Here is a 22,232-nt window from a genome sequence, read left to right as displayed (position 1 = left end):
TTGCTTTATTTTTTCCCTTCTCTTCCCTTCCCTGCTCCCCTTCCCTTCTTCCCTTCTCCCCATTCCCCTCCCCTTTTCCCTCTCCTCTCCTCTCCTTTTCCCTCCCTTCTCCCCTCCATTTCCCTCCCCTCCTCTTTGCTTCTCTCTCTCTCTCTTTTTCCCTGTCTTCCTTCCTTTCCTCCTTTTTCTTTTTTAAGCAAATCTAATTCTGTCAAGAAATGTGTCTTTAATATGCTTTGCCTGGCTTCCTCGACAGAACTAGCAAATGTTAAATAATACAACACAAAATAAATAATACAAATTATACAAATGATGGTATGACATTCTCAACATCAAGCTGATTCATTTAAGGACTGGCAACATCAAGCATTATTCCAAAGAAATTAAACACTTGGCAATACTATAGGTACGCAATTAGTATTAATTGGTCTGAATAGTACTTTGAGCCCTTGAGTAATTTATTTTCCCACATAGTTATTTCCATCTGAGGTTAAACACAAACCACACTGAAAGGCTTCTTTGGGTGCAGAGCGATGCTATTGGAAAGGAACCTGGATGTCATGATGATATCTCTAACACTGGATTTGCACAGCACCATGCTTTGCAGAAGCTTAATTGTGTTGTTGTTTTAAAGACAGATTTGTGCCAAAGATCTGGCATGCTGCAGAGGATGCCAGATGGTTACCCTGGAAAGTTTCTTCTCGGTAACAGGTGGGGTGTTCCATCTCACTATCCAGCCCAAGGCACAACCCAGTTCTGTCTTAGCTCTGTGCTATTCTGGGAGCCAGTTCTCAGCAGAGAAGCACTTCTCCAACAATGGAAAATACTTTTTATGTAAATCAGTGGTGCCAAGCACATAGTAAGCACTCAAAGATAATGCTTGTGGATCTTTAAGTTTAAAAATCCATATGTCCAGTCCAGTTTTCCTCTGAGTATCAGCAACCAGCTGTCCACACTCAGCATCTCCTCCTGTACCTCTGCTACTTAGGAGCCAAAGCAGAACCATGGCTTCTGCCCACAGTCCCCAACCCTTGCCTTAGGCCAAATTGACTCCCACCCTCAAGTCCCCCCATCTCTTTAAATGACACCACCACCCACTAAATTGCTCCAGGCAAAAACACAGGGGTTTTTGCGGATTGCTTTTGTTCCCTGACATCCCACTTAAATTCATTAGTAAGTTCTGTTGACTCTACCTCCAGAATATATCTCTAACCCTATTCTCTTGTTGATTAAATTGTTGTCCAAGTCAGTATCCTCCCTCTCCTAACTGGCCTCTTTTCTTCTATTCTTGTCCTTTAAAGTCCCTTATGCACCTGGCAGCTTGGGTGAGCCCTACCATGTCAACTGGACCCTGACAGTTTCCAAAAACATTTAGAATGAAATCCTACTGGTTGGTCCAGCCAGGCCCCATGTGATCGGTGCCTGCCTAACGAGAATCCTATCTTCTTTCCCTCTTGCACTCACTCACCCCTCCCCAGCCTTGTCTTTGACCCTCTAGCACACTGAGCCAGCACCAGGCTCATGCACTTGATGCTTGCTGGCCTTGCTGTTTGAAATGTATGTCCCCCAGATCTACTTGGGAGCCTCTGCTTCTTGAAAATCACAGGTCAAACACCACCTTGTCAGATTGTCTGGCCTCCTTGGCTCTCAATCACATTACCCTGTTTTGTTTTGTTTTTTTCATGGCACTTGATTATGTTTAAAAGTATTATTTGCTCACGTATATGTGTTGCCTGTGTCCCCCACTAATACAGAAGCTCCTTGAGCTCTGAGACTTTGCCAGTCAGTGCAGCACCCCTGACATGCGGAAGGGTGGACACAGAATCCACACTCAGTGAACACCTGTGGCCCACCAGCTGGCTGAAAATGCAAGTAGGGTCAACATTGGTCTCAAAGGGACCAGTTACTTTTCTGGATCCTGAAATTCTGAAACTTTTACATAGCAATATTTGGCTGCAATCAATCACAGACAGTAGGAAAGACTCTAATTCCAATTTTCCAAGAAACACACACACACACACACACACACACGGAGAATGTATCCATAGAGATACGGTCTATTTAGGCAGCCTTCGGGTCCTGCTGGAGCACTGGAGCTCTGGTTTTCAAGCTGAGCTGGTTGCCAAGGGCTCTACCTCAGGAAGCTGGAGCACCAGGCATCCAAGCACCCCTCTTCGGCCAGATCAGCTCTGCTTTAATCTGCTTTAATTTTAAAACATTTAATTGGCTTCCACAAAAGGGGATGTCTGAAAGCTAGGATCCCTCCACTGGAAAAGAATACAACTGACTATGTTCATGTGCACTTAGAAGTCCCCATCTGAACACCCTAAAACAGCTGAGGTGTGTTTCTTTGTAATCTCATGCTTCTCCCCTGCCTTCTGCTCCCACTGTTGCTGCCTGGGTTGAGATCTCACATCTGCACTTTTAGCCCTAAAAGGACCTGGAAGTTCTTTTGTGTCCTTTCCCACCCCTTCTGATAATCCCTTCCTCACCCTGCTGCTAAATTAACATTTCTCCACCAAACACAAATCTGAGCTTGTCACTATCCGAGTGGCTCCCACGTCCACTGAAATCACTTTATGCTCAAAGCCTGTCCTGTCAGGACCTTCATTCTCTCACTCCTTCAAGAGTTTGACAGCCTGCAAGCCTCCAGACCAGCCCTCAAGCTTCCAGACCAATGGTGCTTGGTTATCCACTCAACATTCACCAAGGCCTGACTTTCTCCTTTCTGGGTGCTTGGCTAAGCCAGGCCATTCCTGCTGCCATTCGCCCTTCCTCTGGGACTCACCAGTTGCAACCCTATCTCTTCTCTCTTCCATTTCCCCATTCCTCACACCACCTTACTGCACCCTCAGGGAAAACTACTCCCTCTAATTCTGTGCCCACAACTTTGTTTGCACTACTAAGGTGACACTAATCACACTACTTTGCTCTGTGGACTATAGCTTCAGCCTGGGGAAAGATAAAATTTAGAGCAGAGTTTCGGGTGTCACTTCAATTCACTACTGTGTAAGCTTAGACTCACCCTTTCTGAGCCTCATCCACTTTACCTATAAAATATATGTAATAACATCTCCCTCTCAAAGCTGCTGTGGGTGTTGTGATATATGTGAAAACAATTTGGAAACTACACATGCAAAGTATTTTTATTCCTATTGGCTGCTTGAAGGCAGGAACCATCCTATTCATTTTTGACCTAACCCCCATCTCCAGTGCATGCCAGGATGCAGCAGAGCACATTCATTTCAGTATAATTCTGAGAAAAAGAGAAAGGACCCATTTCAACTCAAACTTAATACCACAATTTGAACTTTGAAGTTGCTCAAAAGAGTTCTTTCAGATCTAAAGAGGAAAAAATGACTGGAAGACGAGCCTTTAGGCAACTTATTAACTGTTTTTACTTGCATAACAGATTATCTGGGGGGCCACATGAGCCTTTGACAGAACATCTGTGAAGTTAGAACAGTCTTCGGTCTTTTGTGTACTCTGAGAAGTCCAGGCCACAGGAGTTTGCCATTCTCTGATATTTTCTGCAACACATTAAACTGTTTAATGCAAATTTACTCCATTCTAAATTTGCATGGGGCCCAGGAGCCCTTTGAGAGAGAGCTTGAGTGAGACCTTGGGTTGACATATACAGGGCTGTCTGATGGCCAGGGTGAATGGGTATATTCCCAGAAGGGGAATAGACAAGAGAAAAAGAAAACAGCCTCCCTGAAGTGATGCTTCATGGAGAAGTCTTAAAGGATGGTGCGGTTTTTGCAACAAGGTGTGGATGAGGCAGGGAGTAGGGGCTTCCAGGAGGCTGTGCCCCTGGCTTTCTTTCCCATCTTGAGTGTGGATCACCGTGTCTGATGATCAGACCGGTCAGGTTGTGCCCTAAACAAAGGCACACACACACAGGAAGGCATCATTCACATTGTAGGTTTGTGCACACTTTCTTTGCAATTTTCTGCCAGAGGAAAGTCAAGTGTCTTAAGGACTCGCCTAATTCTTACCAAGGCACTGTTGGAAAGTCAAGTGTCTTAAGGAAGGGGTGACTTTCCTAATTTTTACCAAGGCACTGTTTAGGGTAGGGGAAGCCCTGGCAGGGACCCTTGGAAGAAGAGGGCTGTCTATAGTGGAAAAACTATCACATTAGGAGCCCAATAGTTCTACTTTAGTTCAGTATCTTAGTTATTTTAGCCCCTTAGAACCTAACACAACACCTGGTACATATTTATTCAGTAAATTGGATTGATCAATGCCTATGGGTTTTTAAAGTTTTATCCAGGAGGCATCACAGATCTCATTTGTTCTTTATTCCTTTTGTGTTCTCTTCCCAGACTTGTGGTTTTGTCACAAGGAGATAATATTTTCAGCAAAAAATATAAACTTTCCCTCAAGACACAAATTAGAAAATATGGTGGTGCGGTCCCTGGTGAGGAAGCCATCCTTCCAGGCCCAGAATTTCCTGCCCTGTCCATTTCCAACTTATCATAAATACTTTCCTGACCCCTAAAATGCAGGACACTGATCAACTCAGTTAAGAAGTTTTTATTTCAAGCCTGCTGGGCTTTACAAAGGACTGCATTTGACTCTGGGCATGGATTCAAAGTCCTTTTGAATAAATGACCTGCTTATCTAGCTGTCAAAATGTGGACCTCACTGGCACTCTTAACTATAGCCCTGATTCAAGTTTATGTGCCAGAAACGGAACTTCTGTCTTTCAAATTCAACAAGGTCTTCAGACCATGGCCGCCTTGCACAATATGGACCAGCAGTTGCTATTAGAGCAACTAAGGGTATTTACGGTTTATTCAAATAATGTAGTGCAAAGAATAGGAGGTTTGAAAGCCTGGCGAGGAGTGGAAGAATTGACTTCCATAAATCTAGGGCCCTAAAAATACCTTTTTTGTTCAAGCGTTGGAAAGAATTTTGTCGACCTTTCTGCTTCATTGGCATTTCTTTACGTTTTCCTGGTAACCAGAGACAAGTTGCACAATCGGTGTGGCATTTGGCTCCTGATTCTGGGGGAGAGGGAGCGCTGTCTGCTTTTTCAGCAGGCCCAGCACAGTGGAGCGCGGAGCATTCAGCACTGGGGGAGCCTGCCAGCAGCTGGCCCTGCCAAACTAAACAGGAATCAGCGCGGACAAAGGGAAGATTATGTGGTGGAAAAAGGATACCCCGAATTAAGGCAGGAAAGCCACGTCAATTATATTTGGAAGCGGTGTCTCTCCCCCGGGTTACAAAGCCGTGTCTCTAAGATTTCTGAGGATGTTGCTGTTTCACCGAAAGCTCACCCACAAAAGGTCAGTGGGTGGAGTTCAAACAAAATGCTTTTTCTCTTATGACTTCCTGTGGATCTTGATATCTCGCCACAAGTCTTTCTGCCACCACTGTGCCCTTCCATGCACACTAGTCACAGCAGGAGGAGGACAGGAACGCGCGCCAGGAGCGGATTAGGGGACGTGAGCAGGCGACCCTGGCAGAGGTTCTCCGCGCAGTGGCCCGCGGTGGGCTGGGCGTGCTGAGCACTGCGTCCCTGCTTCAGTCCTGATCTCAGCGGAAGAAAAATAAAAACACAACAAAACTCAAACCAACAAAACACCTGGGATTTCCCGGCCACCAGCCCCAGTGAGTGCCCCCACAGGATAAGCTCTTACTAACTCCTCCTGGTGGCCCCAGGCTGACCTCTGCAAGGTTACTGTTGGGAGTTGAAGGCAAAGCGGCCTGGCCCACTGCTGGTGATACCCAGGCTAGGCTAAGTCTCCTGAGGACACGTGGAGGCTCAGCGCAGGCGCAGGAGCAGCGCGGGGCTGGGAGAACTGGCAAAGCCACCTGCGGTGCTGTGCCCAGGGAGTCCATGATTCTTCTCTCCTCCTGTCTCCTTTTTCAAAATGCAAAATAAAATGAGAAATTTTGTTTTTAACAATAAAAGTAACAAATATATCATCACCAAGATGTTTAGATGTTAGTATTACTGGAAACAACTTGCTTTTTTTTCTCCTTAAATAAGTAAGACTTTGAAGATACAGTAAGGCCCCACCTTCATCCCTCCCCTCCCCAGAGTGAACCTCCTTAAATTTGTCTATATTGTTCCCACGTGATTTTTCTTATTTTTTCCATGCATAGTTTTATTTAAATATGATCTTGCATGGTTTTTAAATTTATGTAAATGATATCCTTTAAATATCTTTTTACAATTTACATTTTGCACTTAACCGGCCACTTTAGGAATTTATCATTGTGAATATCAATGTAAATCTAGCTTTAAGATTGTTTAATAAACTTTTCAATAAAAACAATTATTTTTTAAATCGATTCTATTCAGGAGCATGACTTTTTTCCCCACTTTTTAAATTACAAAGAATACAATTAGCATGTTTGTACATTTACACTAGCACACATGCCTAGTGTATATGGGAGTAGACCCTAAAGAACGAAGAAGTAGAGGCCGGGCGCAGTGGCTCACGCCTGTAATCCCAGCACTTTGGGAGGCCGAGGCGGGCAGATCACGAGGTCAGGAGACAGAGATCATCTCCTGGCTAACACGGTGAAACCACGTCTCTACTAAAAATACAAAAAATTAGCCGGGCGTGGTGGTGGGTGCCTGTAATCCCAGCTATTTGGGAGGCTGAGGCAGGAGAATGACGTGAACCCGGGAGGTGGAGCTTGCAGTGAGCCGAGGTCCTGCCACTGCACTCCAGCCTGGGCAACACAGCGAGACTCCATCTCAAAAAAAAAAAAAAAGAAAGAAAGAAATTAGAAGTAGAATTCCTGGGCCATAGGTCAGTTTCAACATTGCCAAATATTGACAAATTGCTCTCCAAGAGGGCTATGTTAATTTTCAAGCTCACCAGCAATGATCAAGATTTTCACCAAAACTTAGTGCACCCGATTAATTGTATTTGCTGACATGACGGTTTCAAGTGGTACCTGGCCGCTTGACTTTTCAATTCCGTGAGAACTAGTGAAGTTGAGCATATTTTCATATGCTGTTGTCCATTTGAGCTTTTTGCTTAAGCTGCGTATTTACATACTTTGCGACATTTCTATTGTGTTATTGCAGAGTTTTTAAAATAAATTTGCAATTTATATGTGGTTTCTACACATTTTCCAGTATATGATTTTCCTTTTTACTTTGTTTATGGTGTCTTTTAAATTTTAATATAGTTAAAATTTAATTTTCAATGTAGTTAAATGTATCAATATTTTTTTTTTTTTTTTTTTTTTTGAGACGGAGTCTCGCTCTGTCGCCCAGGCTGGAGTGCAGTGGCGCAATCTCGGCTCACTGCAAGCTCCGCCTCCCGGGTTCACGCCATTCTCCTGCCTCAGCCTCCCGAGTAGCTGGGACTACAGGCGCCCGCCACCACGCCCGGCTAATTTTTTGTATTTTTAGTAGAGACAGGGTTTCACCGTGTTAGCCAGGATGGTCTAGATCTCCTGACCTTGTGATCCTCCCGCCTCGGCCTCCCAAAGTGCTGGGATTACAGGCGTGAGCCATCGGGCCCAGCCTGTATCAATATTTCATCCTTTTTTTAGTTCTATGAAGATTTCTCCATGCTTCACTCTAAGACTTTCTTTTTTTTAATTTCAATCTTTAAGCCTGAATCTGGGAATGTGAATTTGTATATCATGAAATAGGGATTTAACTTTTTCATGTATGTAATGAACTGTTCTACACTATCTGTTGAAGAGTCTACCTTATCACCACTGAATTATGATACTACCTGTCATATTGTTTCCCTATTTTGTGTGCTGATTTCTATGTTTGCTCATTGATTTACTTTTCTATCTCTGAATCAGTTCTATACTTTTAAAATTACTAAATTTTATAAAGTCTTATGGATTTTTCCCCTATTTTTCCCTCTTCCTATTTTTCTTTCTTCTAGATTTTCTTGGCACTTGTTGGCCATTTACTCTTTCATAATATTTCAGAATCAGCTTGTCCAGATCCCTAAAAATGCCTATTGAGACTATGAGTGCAATTATATTAAATGTATTAAGTAATTTTGGGAGAATGGACATCTTTATGATATTTAGTCTTTCCATTGTGAAAGCAATGCATCTCTCAATAAGTTCTTCTTGCATGTCTTTTAAAAATGTTTTCATGGGCTGGGCACAGTGGCTTGCACCTGTAATCCCAGTACTTTGGGAGGCCAAGGCAGAAAGATAACTTGAGGCCTGGAGTTCCAGACCAGTCTGAGCAACATAGTGAGACCCCATCTCTACAAAAAATAAGAAAAAAAGGGCATGGTGGCACATGCCTGTAGTCCCAGCTATTCCAAAGCCTGAGGTGGGAGGATCGCTTGAGCCCAGGAGTTTGAGGCTGCCAAAGGCTAGGATTGTGCCATTGTACTCCAGCCTGGGTAACAAAGTGAGACTCTATCTCTAAAAAACGGTTTCTTTAGAGATATTGGACATTTTCATTACTTTTTTTTCTGGGCAGCTTTTAGATTTTATTATTAACATAAATTGTGTCTTTCAAAATTATGTCATCTGATTATTTGTTGCTTAGTTATTGTAATGCAAATAATATTTTATATTATATCTTGTATCTAAATACAATCCAACATTTTTTATTTGTTCTAATAGTTTGCATAAATTCTAGGATTAACTGTGTGGACGATAATATCAAGAATGAATTTTTTTTCTTCCTTTCTAATCAGTTTAACTTTTTAACCTCTCCTGCCTCCAATTTGCACCATCAGAAAAGAAACAATGGGCCAGGCGTGGTGGCTCACACCTGTAATCCCAGCACTTTGGGAGGCTGAGGCAGGCGGATCACCAGGTCAGGAGATCCAGACCATCCTGGCTAAGACAGTGAAACCTCATCTCTACTAAAAATACAAAAAATTAGCCAGGTGTGGTGGCACGCACCTGTAGTCCCAGATACTTGGAGGCTGAGGCAGGAGAATCATTTGAACCCAGGAGGCGGAGGTTGCAGTGAGCTGAGATTGCGCCACTGCACTCCAGCCTGGGTGATAGAGCGAGGTTCTGTCTCAAAAAAAAAAAAAAAAGAAACAATGATAGCTGACAAACTAACTCACTCGTAATCTTAAACACCATGTTTTTGTTTTATTTTTGTTATTATTTTTATTATTAGTGCATTGTGTAACTTCAGTGCTTTAAAATTAAAAATCAAAATCAACCAAAAATTTCACATATATTGGGACACTTAAAAATGTATAAATCAGTTGCGGTAGGCAAAAAAAAAAAAACAAAACTGTCCCCCAAGTATCCACTTTGTAATCCCTGGGAACTGTGAAATGCTAGGTCACGTGACAAAAGGAATGAAGGTAGCAGATGAATTAAGGCTGCTAATGAGCTGACCTTAAACAAAGAGATTAACCCGGATTATCCAGGTGCACCCAGTGTAAATGAAAGGGTCCTAAAGTGCCTGGGAGAGAGGCAGAAGAAGCGGTCTGAAAGATGCAGCATACCAGGGAGTGCAGAGGGCCTCGAGAAGCTTGAAAGGTTAAGGAAGAGAATTCTCCCCGGAGCCTCCAGAAAGGAGCGCAGCTCTGCCATCGCCTGGATTTCAGCCCAATAACACCAGTGTTAGACTTTTGATCTGTAGAACTATAAGACATTTGTGTTATTTTAAGCCACTACATTTGTGGTAATTTCTTTACAGCAGCAAAAGAAAACTAATACACCAGTGGAAATTAAAAACTACATAAAATAATAATGTTACATATCAAAGCTTTTGAGATTCTGTTAAGGCAGTAATTATAGAAAGTAGACAGCCTTAAAATGCCCATACTGAAAAAAATTTCAGATAATAAAGTATACAACCCAAGAAGTTAGATTAATAGCAGAGTAAATGCAAAAAATGGAAGAAAAATCATTAAAGGAAAAGCAGAAATTAATGCGATAGTGAAAATAAAGCTAATATTTTAAGAACTTATAATATCCTGAGAAATATTCTACATGTTTTACACATATTAACCCTTTTCTTTCTTACAATAACCTTATATATAGGTATTATTATTGCATTTTTTCTTTTTTTCTTTTTGAGATGGAGTTTTGCTCTTGTTGCCCAGGCTGGAGTGCAATGGTGCGATCTTGGCTCACTGCAACCTCCACCTCCGGAGTCCAAGCAGTTCTCCTGTCTCAGCCTCCTGAGTAGCTAGGATTACAGATACCTGCCACTACACCCAGCTAATTTTTGTTATTTTTAGTAGAGATGGGGTTTCACCATGTTGGCCAGGCTGGTTTTGAACTCATGACCTCAGTTGATCCACCCACCTAGGCTTCCCAAAGTGCTGGGATTACAAGCACGACCCACCGTGCTTGGCCTGTCACCTTTTTTCAGTTGAGGCATCTGAGGCATGAAGAGATTAAGTAACTTGCTCAGCTAGTATGTAGAGAAATTGGGGCTCAAGCCCATACCCCAGACTCTAGAGTCCATGTCCTTAACAAGCACATTAGTCATCTAACTAAACAAAAATGCAATAAAGAGAATCGACATCCCAAATTTGTTTCTTTCAAGAGACTACCGAAGTAGAACTATGGCCTGATATATCTAGAAAAACAGTGGAAATAAACAATATTAGGACTGGTAAAACAACATAACTACACATCACTAACAATGTTTAATATGAAAATATTATGCACAGTACTCTATTAAGAGATTTGAAAACTTTGACAACCAGATGTTTTCCTAGAACAGCGCTATTCAAAGTGTGGTCAGCTGACTGATCAGCAAATTATTTCTTGCCACTCTGCCACAAAGTAAGTACAGAAACCGAGAGTAAGTGCTTAAAACCTGTTAAAGCATTTTTTTGTTGTTGTTGTTACCCTACTGCAGCATCCAAGCACATAATTTTGTATTTTACAAAAGTGTTGGTCTTTGATAAATTTAGAAGCTCTGTCTTAGAAAACTATAACTTAAAACTGACTCAAGAAGAAATACTAGATAAAAAATAAAACAAGACTGGATGTGGTGACTTACTCCTGTAGTTCCAACACTTTGGGAGGCTGAGGCAGGAGGATCACTTGAGCCCGGGAGTTTGAGAGCAGCCTGAGCAACACTCTGGATAAAATTTATCTTTTTCTTCTTTTTTTTTTTTTTTTTTGAGACAGGATCTGGCTCTGTCACCCAGGCTGGAGTGCAGTGGTACTGTCATGGCTCACTGCAACTTCAAACTCCTGAGCTCAAGCCATCCTTCCACCTCAGGCTCCCAAGTAGCTGGGACTACAGGCTCACACCACCACACCCAGCTAATTTTTTAATGTTTGGTAGAGATAGGGTCTCACTGTGTTGCCCAGGCTTGTCTCAAAATCCTGGACTCAAGCAATCCTCCCTTGGCCTCCCAAAGTGCTAGGATTACAGGTGAGAGCCACAGCACCCAGCCAAATTTGGTATGTCTTTGGGCAAAGATCTGTGAGTAGAAAACTCTCTATATTTTTGTCTGGACTGGTCTATATTTCAACTGTACTCATAGTTATTGTTTAGTTAAATACAGAGATCTAGCTTTTTAGACATTTTCTTTTAGCATTCTTTTTTTTTTTTTTAAAGACAAAGTCTTGCTCTGTCCCTCGGGCTGGAGTGCAGTGGCCCAATCTCAGCTCACTGCAACCTCTGCCTCCCAGATTAAAGCAATTCTCCTGCCTCAGCCTCCTGCATAGCTGAGATTACAGGCACACACCACCATGCCCAGCTAATATTTGTATTTTTTTAGTAAAGACGGGGTTTTGCTATATTGGCCAGGCTGGTCTCAAACTCCTGACCTCAGGTGATCTGCCTGTCTTGGCCTCCCAAATTGCTGGAATTACAGGCATGAGCCACTGCACCTGGCCTCTTTTAGCATTCTTAAGTTATTCTATTCTTTTCTAGCCTCCAGTATTGCTTTGGAGAAGTTTGCTATTGATAAAATATTTGTTCTTTTTCTTTCTGGTTTCTCCTAAGATCTTCTCCTTGTCTTTGGTGTTCTGTAATTTCACTATCATGTGTCTAGATGCAAATTTCTTTTTATTATGCTTGGCATTAATTGTACTACATGAATCTGAGCATTTATGAATTTCATAAATTTTAGAAATTTCTGCCTCTCAGATCCTTATCATTTCTTTCTGACATTTCTGTCTGACATGTATTGCTGATTTTCATTCTACCCTCCACATTTCTTCACCATTTCTTGGTAGTCCACTCTGCATAATATCCTCAGAACTATTTTGCCATTCACAAATTCCTGCTTCAGTTCTGACTTTGTTATTTAATCTGTCAATTTAATTTTTAATATAATGATTGCTTTTTATTTCTCAAAATTTTACTTGGCTTTTTATCTACCTATTTTAATCTACTTAATTGTAAGAGTGTCTTATTTCTTTGGGTTTTATTTTTTGTACTTTTAATCCTTTTAAAAATTATTATTTTCTCATCTGCCAGAATGTTATGTTATCTGGAATTTTAGGAACTCTAAATGTGGTATTGCTTTGTCTTCTTTTTCTACTGGTGGATTTTTTTCTTCCTAAAGTTTTTTAAATGGGGTTTGTGGGATCACACAGCACACACAGGTCTGAGGCTAAAACAACTTCTGTGAGATTTTAACTATGGGAATCCAGTGAAAAATTTTTAAAATTTTTTTTTCAAAAATGTGTTTACTTCTGCTTCCAAAATGTACTCTTTTAGATTTATCACTTGGCTGAGATCAATTTTTTTTAATTGACCAGGTTAGGGGAGTTCCTGATGTTTAGAAAGCATCAGTTTGTACTCTAAATCCATAAGGCCCATACTTATGAATTCTCAGAGTAGAATTTTCATGCTTCTACCTGAAGCCTAGCCAGGAAGAGAGCAATCTCCTTGTCTTCACCCTGTGCTGAATTTTTCTGGCTTACCCTTTTGTTGTGTGTGTAGTCCTCATAAGTCCCAGCGTTATGTATGTTAGGGGTTAGGAGCTTGTTCAGTTCCAGCCTTCTGTTACCAAAACACCAGGGGCTTGGTTTAGGTCCTGCTGCTTGCCACACAGATAGCCAATGCCTGAGACAACGAGTATTGCCAAGGAAGAAGGTTTTAATCATGTGCTGCAATGGAGGAAATGGGAGATCACTCTTAAATCCATCTCCCTGACGGCTAAAACTTGGGGTTTATATAGCAGGGAGAAATGCAACAATGTGTAAGAAAACAGGAACTAGGGAGGGGTAAGAAAGCAATCATGATGAATTAATGGGTCCAGTATCTTATTGTCTGGATGTGGTGATCTGGTGAGTTTTGCTTGTTTGATACTTTGAGAGGCCCGAGGGATCCTTGGCCCGAGGGATCCTTTCCTGAGGAAGGAACTCTTAAAACAAATATAAGTTTCAAGCTTTAAGACCAGAAGGATCAATTTCTATGTTTATCCCAAAACAACTGTCTATGGCAGTGGTCCCTAACCTTTTTGGCAACAGGGCCTAGTTTCGTGGAAGACAATTTTTCTACAGCCAGGGGTTGGGGGACCAGGGGGATGGTTTCAGATGAAATTGTTTCACCTCACCAGGTATTAGTTAGATTCTCATAAGGAGCACACAATCTAGATTTCCCATATGCACAGTTCACAACAGGGTTCATGCTCCTATGAGAATCTAATGCCATCAATGCTCTGACAGGAGATGGAGCTCAGGCAGTAATGCTTGCTTACCTGTTGCTCACCTCCTGCTGTGCCGCCTAGTTCCTAACAGGCCACAGACCGGTCCATGGCCCCAGGTTTGGAGACCTCTGGTCTATGGGACTATTGGGTCAGCTTCACCTCCATCTTGAACATGTCTCAACTGCTGTCCTTAAATTGACATTGACACCTGAATTGGGTTAATAAACTGCCCCCCACCTTCTTAAAGTAGCAAAATCAGATCATATCTATGTGCTCTGGCTTTCTTTTCCTGCTTTGCTTTTGAACCTTTTTCAGTCTTCTGAGCTCTGCTAGGCATTTTTTAAATGCTTAAAAACATTACTAGGTGTTTTGGTGGCTCACGCCTGCAATCCCAGCACTTTGGGAGGCCAAGGCAGGCGGATCACGAGGTCAGGAGATCGAGACCATCCTGGCTAACACGATGAAACCCTGTCTCTACTAACAATACAAAAAATTAGCTGGGCGTGGTTGCACGTGCCTGTAGTCCCAGCTATTCGGGAGGCTGAGGCAGAAGAATCGCTTGAACCTGGGAGGCAGAGGTTGCAGCGAGCTGAGATCTTGTCACTGCACTCCAGCCTGGGCGACAAGAGCAAAACTCCATCTCAAAAAAAAAAAAAAAAGAATTACTAGATGTTCGTCACAGGAGGTGGTTCAGATTATATCATCCCCAGTATTGCTGAGCCAGATCCTCCTATTTATTCTCAGGAACAAGTTCCCAAATGCTCACAGCCACAGTAGAAAAAAATGTTTTTCCATACGACTGCTTAAAGCCATTCTCTCTGAAAGGAACCTGGGGAAAGTGCTGTCAGTAGTTAACTAGAGATCGCAGCATCCTCAGGAAAATATCCAGGGGTCAACAGTTTTGGGCCCACTACAACACTGCCCTCCAGGGTCTACTGTCCTTCACAGTTCTGGGCACAGAGTCAGGCCAGGGATCTCCGGAACATGGTGAAAGGAAGGACCAGGTAGGCATGGTGAGGAGGAGCAGGAAGTGTGGGGTAATAGAAAGAGATCTGGAATCAGAACACTCAGGTTTAATCCCAGTCTTGGTGTTTGGGAACTGGGTAACTTTGGGCAAGTCACTTCGCAGAAATTCAGCTTTCTTGTGTGTTAGATTAGGTCAAGGCTTTTCAAATACTCCCTCCCATAAAGCATTTTCTTCAAAGAAAGCCTAACATTAAAGCAGATCAAAGTAGAATTGCTCTGCTTGAAGTGGGGAGGGGTATTGCCCCCTGGCTCCCACCCTTTCCTATCCCCAAGAAACCCCTGAGGCACTTCCACAAAGTCCCCAGGGCTAGCGCAGTTTGACACGATCAGGTTCACCTTGTAAGGGTTTGATGTGAACCTTCTTTGAGTTGGCACCAAGCAAAACAGCCAATAAAGAGTCATTGAAAGTGATTGCATTAAAACATGGTTTCTATGAGGACTAAAAAGTACCTTCCAGGTTTCCTAGCAACAGAAATCAAGGTCTGCTGGCCACAGCAGAAAAAAAAAAAAACAAAAACATTTTTTGAAACCTGGAAAAAAAATGGTTGAATTTAACCCTTATCCTCTATTGTGATGCAACAATAGAAATGATCATAGGGCGACCATGTTTTAGCCCTTCCACCTCAAATCTTCTACCCTGTGAGCTGCACGTGTCATCACACACCAAAAGACAAGAATAGTAGAATTCCCATGTTAATGAAAAATGAAAATAACATTTTCCATCGTTTGATCCAAGTGTTGCTTGAGAAAGGAAAGGGATGAGAGGAGAGAAGTAATGTGAGCACTTTTCCCTTTCATACCATAGTACGTAGGAGAAGATAGCAAACACAAGTTTTAGGATCTTCTTGGTCTCTTTATTCTTCTTTAAAATGAGCATTATCTCCTCATTTTACAGATTAGAAAAATTTATTCAGAACTTAATAGCCCATCTATGGTCACACACATATGAAATGGCAGAGACAGGAGAAATAAGACTTTTTTTAAAAAGCTGATTTATAATTTTTATTAAGGTATTGACAGCCATACAATGTTTCTGGTAAAAAGTGTACATCCCTTTTCTTATTTTTCCCCTACTTTTTACTTTGAAAAAAATTAAACCTGCAGAAATATTAACAAATTGAATAGGAATACCGTATACCTTTCACCAAGATTCACAAATTAACATTTCACCCATTTGCTTTCTTTCTATGTATATGTATGTATGTGTTTCTGTGTGTACATACAAATGGATCTAAAACAGACAGATATGCATGTTTATGCTGAACTGTGTAGTTACTTAAGAGTTAACACTTTCTTCTATATAACCAAAATACCATTAACTATTCATAAGAATTAAATACATGGATTACCATTTTACACGGGCTATATTTAAATTTTTTGATTGTCTTAATACTATCTTTCATAGATTTAAAAAATCCTGGGTCAAATCAAGATTTGTACTTTGCTTTCTGCTGTTGTTGTTTTGGTCTGTTTGATCACTTTATCAGGAGCAGTATTCTCCCTATTCTGTTTCTCATGACATTCACTTTTTTTGAATCCAGATCAGTGTCTTGAAGAATGTTCCACATTCTAGATGTGTATGATTATTTCTTCACAATTTGATACAGGCTCTGGTTTTTAGCAAGAAAACTACATACGTGATATTGAGTACTAATTGCATCCCATCAGGTGGCAAATAAAGTCAGATGGGTTCCCTGTGGGTGAGAGCAAGTTTGATCACGTAGTTGTAAGATGATGCATGCTGGATCTCTTTGGTATAAAGGGGCGTTTTCCATTTGTAATTCGTAAGTAACATGCATGGAGAAACTTTGTGACCATTTGAACACTCAGTTTCAGAACAACATTTCAGCTAATGGTTGTAATCCATCATTGATCTTAATCTTGCCTTAATCATTTATTCATATTGAGAAGTATAAAATGGGAATTTTGTTTTAGTTATATCAATTCATTCCACATTTATTAAATGGCATTATGTTTATAAAGAAGTCTTTCTCTGTCTCTCTCTCCCTCTCACTCTCTCTCTCATAGCGCTAGTTCAGTAGTCACTGTAAACTGTAAACTCTTTAAATTTTGCTGCTTTTGACCTAAATTTCTCCTTAAAAAGGCCTTCTTGTGGAAAATATTTGCTGTTGGCAGGCACGGTAATTTAGGCTCATTTGTCCAAGGTGCCTTCCAAAAGCTTAATGAGGAGGAGGATAGAGGCAATTCACTTCACCTAAGCTCCTAGGAATGAAGTTTTCTTTTATTAATAAGGAAATTGATAAACAAGGTTATTAAGTAACTGATGAAACTGAGAGCTGAGAAAAGTATTAACAAAAGAAATAAAAGGGTAAAGATTGTTGTTATGGTGTTACTGAGATCCTCAAACTGCTCATTTGATTTCAGGTTAAGAGTTTCAGGTATTCTTTGGAAGCCTCTGAGTTCTATAAAGGAAATAATCTAGTTCCAGTGTTATAAGTATAATTAGTGCAAAGGGAGTTCCTGGAACACGTGAAAAGTTTTAAGGCTGGGATGTAAGATTTCTTTACTTACTGCTTTTCAAATAAACTAATGAGGGGATAAATAAACTTGGTTTGGGTTAGGATGCCTAAAATAAAACCCAGCGCAATATGATATGGTTGAGGCTGTTTCTCAAGGAAGTTTGGAAGAGAAACCAACTGCTGGATGAATTTTTTTTAAATTGAAACTCTCACAATTGAAATTCCCTCCTTGTAGATATCACTCCCAAAAGTTTCTTACATCATGGCAAACCATAAATATTTCTTTTAAAGGAATGAAAGCTCTTGATACACAGATTTCTCTTGAACCTAAATTTTTTAGGAAACATGTAAGGAGAGCCTACTGTCTTCTTGGCATGAATTTACAAGTTAGTGATCCAAAGATGAAAAATGCCCAGCTCCCGCCCCATGGCATCTCCAGAATTTCTGTTTAGAAGTTTAGGGACGGTAATTTAGGAGCTAAGGGATTTGTCATGAGGCTGTGTTTGCATTTCAAGTGAAGTTAGTTTAAGATTATATGTTATAGATTAATTTAAAAAACTAGCAAAGTTTTATGAAGATGTCTTCACTCATATTTTCCATAAAACTGAGAAAATATCAGTTGTATTAATATTAAAATGGCAGAGGAGAGTTACTGATGGAAATTATGAAAATGCTAAAACTTTTTCTCACATATTGTATTATACCAACACTGTTTCTACACTTGCAAATCTTGGTCTAAATAGGAGTGATAGATGCATAAACAAATAACTGTAATAAAATATAGTCTTAATAGGATAGATTAATTTAAAAAGAGTCATTTAGTACCCAAATAGGGCTAAAATCATTCATTTGAGTTACAGCCTAAGAGCACAACCATGAGATTTTCCCTTCAGAGACAGTTGAGAACAGTTTGATTCAGAATTTGATACTTCTTTTTATCCTCAAATTGAATGTTCCTGGAGAACATTCACAACCATCGAACCAGACTCATCTCTTACTGTGCAATACGAGGGAATACTAAGTTCGAAGGGAGCCATATGAGTAGCATGTAGGATACCAAATCTCTAGGAGTAGAAGTCAAGAAACAGTGAGACTACTGGCTTAGCAAAAAAGGACATTGACATTAGGGTAGAAGAGACCATGAACACCTTGATGGCTATGTCAGGAATGTCCTAAAGGCTGGGGTCAGGTGGCAAAGATGACATGATTAATAAGCTCTTGAAGAAAATTTGTAGAACAAATAGCATCATTCAGGCACTCACTTATTTTTCTGTCAGTACAATATATTATAGTTCAAATCTATCAAATAATAGCCATCAACATTTATCCAACTTCTGCCTAATTAGATGTTGAGTGTCTTGAAGACAAAAGTGCAATCTTTTTTTTTTTTTGAGACGGAGTTTCACTCTTGTTGCCCAGACTGGAGTGCAGTGGCGCGATCTCAGCTCGCCACAACCTCTGCCTCCCAGATTCAAACGATTCTCCTGCCTCTGCCTCCCGAATAGCTGGGATTACAGGCATGTGCCCCATGCCCGGCTAATTTTTCTATTTTTTTTTTTTTTAGTAGAGATGGGGTTTCTCCATGTTGGTCAGGCTGGTCTGGAACTCCCGACCTCAGGTGATCTGCCTGCCTCAGCCTCCCAAAGTGCTGGGATTAGAGGCGTGAGCCACCGCGCCTGGTTGCAATTTTATTTATCTATATTTCACCAGCACCCACTACTCTGCCCAACACATAGTAGAATAAAGGTTGTATGATGAAATGAGAAAAGTCTGGATAATTCTGTTAACCAAGAATGTAGAAACACATTAGAGTAATGATTAGTAATAATATAGATGTTGAACAGCAAAAAAAAAAGAGAAACCCAAACAATTCCATTTAAAATGGGCAAAGGATTTGAATAGACATTTCTCAAAAGAAAACATAAATGACCAACAAGTATATGAAAAAAATATTCAATGTCACTATCATCAGGAAAATGCCAATCAAAACCACAAGATAGCATCTTGCCCCAGTTAGAATGGCTATTGTCAAAAAGACAGGAAATAAGAAATGCTGACAAGGATGCAGAGAAAAGGATATTCATACACTGTTGGGAATGTAAATTATAATAGTACAGCCATTATGGAAAAAACCATGGAGTCTTCTCAAAAAACTAAAAATAGAACAGCAGTACTATGCAGCAATCCCACCACTGGGTATTTATTTAAAGGAAAGGAAATCAGTATATCAACAGATACCTGAACCCCTATAGTTATTGCAGCACTATTCACAATAGCCAAGATGTGGAACCAACCTAAGTGTTCATCAATGGATGAATAGACAAAGAAAATGTGATATATATACACAATGGCATACTATTCAGCCACAAAAAAAGAATGAAATCTTATCATTGCAGGAACATGGTTGGAACTGTAGGTCGTTATGTTAGGTGAAATAAGCCAGGCACAGAAAGACAAATATTGCATGTTCTCACTCATATGTGGGAGCTTAAAAAGTTGATCTCATGGAGGTAGAGGGTAGAATTATGGTTATCAGAGAAAGGGAAGGGTCAGGGAATGAAGAGAGGTTGGTTAATGGATAAAACATACAGTTAGAAGGAATAATTCCAGTATTTGGTAGCACAGTGTAGTAACTGTAGTTAACAATAGTTTATTATATGTTTCAAATTTGGCAGAAGATTTGGAATGTTCCCAACACAAAGAAATGATAAATATTTGAGGTGATAAATGTCCTAAATGCCCTGATTTGATCATTAAGCATTGTATGCATATATCAAAACATCACACGTACCCCATAAATATGTATAATCATTATGAATCACTAAATATATATAACATGCATGTGTGTGTATTGATGACATTTCAACTATACCATATATATTGTGGGTACGAGACTTAAACCATGACATAATGGAGTGTGTTAGAATAAGTATTTAATACTTTTTATAAGGATAAAAATATAATTTGATGATTTAACCCTTTCACTTGGGGCGTTTCGCCTATCATAGAAATGATGAAAACACCAAACAATTAGCCTTTGAAACAAAGTGAAACAAATATAATTTTTCAATTCTCTATGCTGAATCTATACTATTACCATACACAAGCAATCCTTAATGACAATAGCCACCAGCTTAATAAATCACAGCTGAGAACAAACTATGAAATCACATATTGGATAATGATTCCCTGATATCTCCTGGAAGTTAGTCAGTTGGTTCATATCTGGAAGAGCATCTGATTTCAAACTGAGGCTACAAATACTCAAGATCCAATACAATTTAAACAGTAAACAGCACAGAAATAAAGAGTGGGCTCTTCTCCTAATGCTAAGCTTCAGGACAATTAGCAGAAATCCAGTTAGAAGCTGTGGTTCTTTGTTTGTTTGTTTTAACAGAGCTGTCTTGCAACAATTTTTAAGAGAGTATTTTAATACGTGATTAAATCACAAGATTTAAAACCTAGCCATTTCATAATTGCTAAAAACCATGCCATGCTGACCCAAGACTTTTCCAAATTGCAGATTTATTATTCTGCAATAAACCATAACTTGGTATTTGGTTCCCCTGAGTGAATCCATTCTTTAGGTACACAGTAAATCATTTTGTAAAAGTAGATTTCATCTATGTGTGCACAACCCATGTATCTTAGATTGAAGATTTTCACTTTATTTTTAGAAAGACTTAGGTATAATTTAAATAAGGGTATCTTTCTCTATATTAACACATTTTATAATCTTTTAAACTCTGTTCTCATTATAATTTAAATTTTCTCTTTTAAAAAAGCATTTAAGCCTAGTGATCCATTTAATTTTTAACTCCTACTGTCCTTATCTAAAAAACATCATATTATGCCAGTGAGACAATGTGGATTGCTCTAGCTGACATGTTCTCTAGATGATCCACATAGTTAGGTCTTAGTAGATAGAGTTTTTTGTTTTGTTTTTACTTTCTAATAGGCTGTAACATACTTTTATTTGCCCAAACTTCAACACACATAAGCTCTATTTTAAAGATAATGAAGTAAGCTTCTCTCTTAACCCCAATAAGCATGCATGCATTCAAAATCATTTTACTGTTACCTCCGAAGTACATCTATGTGAAGAAGTGGAAATGGTAAAATGTTTTTGTTCAATGTCAGGTCTAAAAGGTAGTCCTAAAACAGTTTGGAAGTTTCTCAGAAAATTAAAACTAGAATTACCATATGATCCAGCAATTCCACTTTTTGATATATATCCCAAAGAAACAAACCAGGGATAAAATATTTGTGCACCTATGTTCACAGCAGCATTATTCACAATAGCCAAATGGTAGAAGCAATCCAAGTGTCCATAGACAGAGACACACATAAAGAAATGCAGTATACACATACAGTCAAGTATTATTCAGCTTAAAAAGGGAGGAAATTCAGACATATGCCATAACATGGATGAAACTTAAAGATATTCTGCTCAGTGAACCAGTCACAAAGGACAAGTTCTGCATAATTCTGTTCATAAAAGGTGCTTAGAGTAGGCAAATTTATAGACAGAAAGTAGATTGCTGGTTGCCAGGGCTGGGGAGAGGCAGGAATGAGGAATTCATGTTTAATGGGTTGAGTTTCGGTGTGAGAAGGTAAAAAGTTCTGGATATGGATGATGGTGATGATTGCACAACAACGTTAATGAACTTAATGCCACTGAACTACACACTTTAAAATCATTACAATGATAAATTTTGTTATGTATATTTTACCACAATTTTTAGAAAATAAATAATTTTAAAAAGTAACCCAAATATTTTAATAAGGTCTAACAAACTTCAAAGTTCATGGTTTTAGTAGATCATCCTCCTAAATCTTTTGTGAGATCCTGTGATGCAACCAGATATGAGATGATTCATTATGGCAGAAAAAGCTTGGCAGAGCTGGTCCTCTGAACAAGACCTCTGATGGCATTTAGTTGGCAGATCTGGCTGAATCCAAAGCCTATAATATTTCAGCAAGTTTCAGATGTAATGGGTATCTTCATGGCTAGACAGAATAACACCATGAGGATTAGAAGTAGGTGCTATTCATTGGCATGCCTGTAATCCCAGCACTTTGGGAGGCCGAGGCAGGAGGATCACAAGATCAGGAGATAGAGACCATCCTGGAAATATGGTGAAACCCTATCTCTACTGAAAATACAAAAAATTAG

The 22,232-nt window shown here is 39.9% G+C and overlaps 1 protein-coding gene and 1 long non-coding RNA gene across 4 annotated transcripts in view; one reads left to right on the top strand and one right to left on the bottom strand.

The window, feature by feature from the left end:
• The window catches only part of STARD13 (StAR related lipid transfer domain containing 13), a 573,658-nt gene that overhangs the window by 60,493 nt on the left and 490,933 nt on the right, over positions 1-22,232 (top strand). The window lies entirely within an intron of this gene.
• LOC102723406 (uncharacterized) overlaps positions 4,524-22,232 on the bottom strand; it is a 57,046-nt gene continuing 39,337 nt past the window's right edge. Inside the window, exons 4-6 of one of the 2 annotated variants that reach the window (XR_007063750.1) lie at positions 9,426-9,564; positions 5,674-5,869; positions 4,524-5,535 (exon numbers count right to left, since the gene is read on the bottom strand). This is a non-coding gene — a long non-coding RNA (uncharacterized LOC102723406). The remainder of the gene's footprint in view (positions 5,536-5,673; positions 5,870-9,425; positions 9,565-22,232) is intronic. The other variant, XR_001749811.2, reaches the window with a different exon arrangement.

This window comes from Homo sapiens, chromosome 13 (genome assembly GCF_000001405.40).
Source record: "Homo sapiens chromosome 13, GRCh38.p14 Primary Assembly".
Lineage (NCBI taxonomy): Eukaryota > Metazoa > Chordata > Mammalia > Primates > Hominidae > Homo > Homo sapiens.
The sequence above is the reverse complement of the archived record's forward strand: the minus strand, read 5'-3'. Positions and strand labels throughout refer to the sequence as shown.